General features: G+C 49.3%; 1 protein-coding gene across 1 annotated transcript, besides 1 other annotated feature; it reads right to left on the reverse strand.

Annotated features, from left to right (window-relative positions):
- Positions 1 to 4,453: part of a sequence alteration artifact (region identified as an assembly artifact by the Genome Reference Consortium. This region falsely duplicates sequence located at GRCh38 chr16:34827082..35072498) that runs on past both edges of the window.
- On the reverse strand, positions 3,219 to 4,145 carry LOC124903767 (putative uncharacterized protein MGC34800). Its single transcript, XM_017023960.1, has one exon. It carries the CDS (start codon positions 3,764 to 3,766, stop codon positions 3,245 to 3,247), a length of 522 nt encoding a protein of 173 aa, XP_016879449.1. The 5' UTR covers positions 3,767 to 4,145; the 3' UTR covers positions 3,219 to 3,244.

The raw sequence follows: 4,453 nt of genomic DNA on the forward strand, positions 1-4,453 counted from the left end.
TTATCAACCACACTTTGCATTTCTTTCCTAAGCTAAATACACATCTTTTTGGGAGAAGACACAGCACTACATGGTACCAAATACTAACCAAAAAAATCATACAAAAAAAAACCAGATAAATAATAAAGCATTCAACTGCTAAAACACAGCAACATTAAGCCACCTCAGTTTTCTTTTCCCAATGCTTGCAACACCCTCAATCCCTCATCTTATGATGAGGGAACAACATCTTATGATGGGGAACAACATGTGGTATGACATGGGGGAGTTACATCTCAACACTATGGAAAACTTTTAGAGCTCAACGTTAATTTCCAACAGAAGTAAACAGCTAATGAGTCTTTGAAACTTTTTTGTTCAATGATGCACTGGCAAAAATAGCTCATCCTCTTACAATATTTTCTGTTATCGCTGTAGTTATGTGAGAAAGAGATTTTCTATTTGTCTCAACTGAGAAGACTTCACTGTCTGATTCTTTCTTCAGGAACCATGCACCTCCTTGCACTGTCACTCAGCTACTCAGAACATCTCTTGAACATCTCTTGAACAATTCTGTTGTTGGAAGTTTATAATGTCAGGTGCCAGCACACTTGAAATGCGTGAAAATGAGGTGATACACACAACACTTCTGTTCAAGTTTTGATTCAGCCTGCCTCAGTGTCCTGGCCTCTTTTCTCACTGGATACAATGGACAGGCCATCAGCATCAGACTGTGTTCCGAATAATCAGAGGACATTGTGTTTTGCTTTCATCTGAAAAGATAATAAATAAATCAGGAAACCAGAAAAAGTCAAAGCCATGAGTGATTATGATGCCAGATACTGGCTATTTTTCTCAGATTAACTGTCCAAATGACCAGTGCTACCAGACAGTCACAATCTTGTCTGTGGGAATGTGAGAGAGAGACAGACCCGCTTACAGTAAAATTTAACAGTGTTTTCCTAGTTCCTTCCTGGCTCTACTGATGTCACAGTCCTAAGATTAATTCATCAAAGTTTCATTAGGGATGATCACAGTTTTTAAATGGGCTTTGTAGAAAAGTTAAATCATTTTAAGAAACAGCAGCTCCTATTGTATTGAGGAGCTAACAAGTTTTGGTGGCTCTTCTGTTAAAGTAGCATAGATTTCTAACATTGTTTGATCTTAAGACAAACAAAACATTGGTTTTTTCATTTTCCTTAGAGTATGATTCATGAAATACTTTACATAATTTTAAATGTTCAAATTATAAACAAACCTTTCTAATACAAAATACAGAAAGTCCAATCGCATACATTAAAAGTTTGCAATCACATTATAGAAACACCATCTTTTTTTTTTCTTTTTTTTTTTTTTTTTTTTGGAGAGTCTCACTTTATCCCCCAAGCTGGAATGCAGTGGCCTGATCTGCAACCTCTGCCTCCCAGGTTCAAGAGATTCTCATGCCTCAGCTTCCAGAGTAGCTGGGATTACAGGCACCTGCCACCACGCCCGGCTTTTTTTGTATTTTTAGTAGAGACGGGGTTTCGCCATGTTGACCAGGCTGGTCTCCAACTCCTGACTTCAGGTGACCCGCCTGCCTCAGCCTCCCAAAGTGCTGAGATTATACATGTGAGCCACCGTGCCCGCCCGGAAACACTATCTTATTATTGCACAGCTTTAATAATGTAAAATATTTACTCACAACTGCTTATAATATTGTCAATAATTTATGATATTTTGTCTGTAACTTGTTCCCCAGTCATTGGGCTACAGACCACACTAGAAAATAACTGTCCACATAGTGGCTACAAACATTTAAATTTTAAAAAAAAGCTTCTTACCGACAGGTACTTGTACACACAAAGCATTCTCTCTTTCCCAATAGAACTTCACATTGCATTGAAATAATCCACTTATTTATAGTAAAACAAATCTTGCTTAAAAAAATTTACCTAGCCAGATTTATTCAGAAGTAGATAAACTTCATTTAAGGTTAGGGTTATTATATTGTCTGTTGCCCACATAATCTTAACATTATAAATACGTCAGAGGAAGACACTGTCATAATACACAGCATTTGGACTACTAAACCACTTCTTTTAAGATGAAGAGTTCTAAAAACATAGTTCAAGTGTCTAATTCGAGCAAAACCAGCGAGTTTCAGTGGAATACTGCAGGAGACGCCCTTTCTCCCTCTAGGGATTACTGGGTTTTAGTAGAAAAGAAGTGAGGATTGCCTGGGCTCTTTCTGTTCCTGAGGCCGTTTTGCAATCACCTTTTTTTTTCACTTAAAAGGTTGCAGAGTTCTCAAGAACAGTCAGACTCACTGTTGAAGGACGCGAGTCCCGTGTGTTGAGCTAGTTTAGACCATCTCCTTGTTCTCCTGGGTAACCTGGCGAATGGACGCTGCCTGCTATGCAGGCTGCTGAGGTGCGTTGTCCAGACTGACAATGGGAGGGCTATTTTGCGCTCTTTGCACCCCAGGGTACCCAGAGGGATGGTGCAGCAGCCAAAACTTCCTGGGATCTGGGAAAAGCCTCTGTTCTGAATGATGGAAATCTCATTGTTCTTTATGGGAAGCTCCTGGGGGTGAGCTGCAGCTTCCTGGTTCCAAATATTGGGGTCGCCATTCATTATTTGGGCTGTCAGATCCTTCCGGAATATTTCAGAGAACTTCAGGCCATCATCCCCTAGCAGAGCCATGGACTGTTCCACCGCGGCAGCTCGCCTTGGGGGAGGTTGTGAGGGTGGTTATTCCACATGTGAGTGCCAAGTGTACCTGGAGGTTGCCCTTAGTGGTGAAGGCCCTACCGCAGATGGCGCCGCTGAACGGCTTCTCCCCAGTGTGGGACCGGGCGCGGGCCTGCGGAGGGCCCTCCTCTCTGCTGAGGAACTGCAGGCTGAAAGGGGACCCTCCTTGCCCACCGGCGGAGGTGGCGGGGGCGGTGGTCAGGTCCGGGGCGCCTCGTGGCCAGGGACGGGCGGGCGGGCTGGCTGTCCAGCCTCTGGGTCCTGAGCGCTATTCCCTGGGCTCCTCCAGGTTGCCCAGGTCGGGGACTTGGGGCGGAAGCGCTTGCCCAGCACCAGGACAGGTTCTATGCCCCGGTCTTCCGCAGCGACAGGTTGGGCGCTGGCCCTTGCAGCGCTTCGCGGGGGCGGACAGCAACAGGAGACATTGGCTGTGGCGCGATGCCGACCAGCAGGCGGGGAAGACACTGCTGTGAGAGCTGAGGCAGAAGAGGACTTGACAGGCTGGGCGCCGAGCTCACGAGGGGCCCTGGCTTCAACGCTGAGGCGCGGACGCCAAAAAGGCTGCGAGAGGCGAGACCCGCGATGTTGGCGGTAGGGTCGCGGGTCGGTTCCGCGCTGGGGGCGGCCAAGGATAGGAGTCGGGAAGAGCAGCTGGAGAGCCGGGGGCGCTGGAGCCGGCGCAGGCTGGGACAGGAACTGGGAGCCTGAGCCCGCGGGGTTGGCTGGGGCCCGAACGGAGAGCCGGAGCGCCCGGCGCAGGTTCAGCGGGGGCAGCTGGCTGGCCAGGGTGGACGCGCTCGGGACTGAGCGAGGGCGGCAGCCGCGGCGGTGCCTGAGGGCCCCGGGGCTGCGGATCTGCTGCATGAGCTGTCTCTGGGGGCCCTGCCTGCGCGGAGCCAGGAGCCGCTCCAGTCTCCCGGCACAGCCACCCCGCAGCCTGCCTCCAGGCTCCCTGTAGGAACCGCGCCGGCGCCACCTGGTGCTCAGCGACGTCTCCAGCTCCTGCGGTGCTGGGCGCTTGGGCCTCTGGCGGCGCCCAGGGCAGGTCCCCCATCCCCGACGTCTCTGCTTCTACAGGCTTGGCATCCTTCTCTGCGGGCCTCGCCTTGCCTTTCTAGCGGGCTCCTCAGAGACCACTCTCTTGGCTTGGTCTCTGGGCGAGCTGGTAGGAGAAGGTTCTGGAGTCCTCGGCGGGTGGGGCCCTAGGCTGTGTGCAGTGAGATCAGCAGGGGCGGGGTTCAGCGGCTCTTCTGCTCCAGGAAGTCCAGCTGCTGGAGCTCCGCACAGTTTCTCGCTGAAGTCGATCTCCGGCCAGCTGCTGCTCTCCACCTGCTGTCTGGGTCGTGGGGCTTCCCCCAGTGGCCTACTGGGGAGTCCCCACCGGGAGCAGCAGCTCCTCCTCCATCTTGAGGAGTGGGGCTTGGCCTGCTTGCACCCAGACAGCCTGTCATTGGTGCCTCTCAACCATCTACACGCACACATATGCACACACAACAGCTCACTCTGTGACATGTGCATGCGTCACACACACATACATATGTTCAGACACAAGCTGGTTGTCTGAAAGATTGAACAGCTCAGAAAACTACCAAGAAAAAAAAATAAACAGGGGACGTCTCTGAGTTAACAGAAGGGAAGATAAGAAATGAGGTTGCTAGAATTGTTTATGTAATAAATATAAATCAAAAGATATATATTTTAATACATCCAATATTATAGCAAAATTCTACCTTATGCTCCA

Source organism: Homo sapiens, chromosome 16, assembly GCF_000001405.40.
Source record: "Homo sapiens chromosome 16, GRCh38.p14 Primary Assembly".
NCBI classification, from domain to species: domain Eukaryota; kingdom Metazoa; phylum Chordata; class Mammalia; order Primates; family Hominidae; genus Homo; species Homo sapiens.

Coding starts and splice junctions, on each gene's coding strand:
- LOC124903767 (XM_017023960.1), bottom strand. CDS start 3,766: ATGGGGGACCTGCCCTGGGCGCCGCCAGAGGCCCAAGCGCCCAGCACC.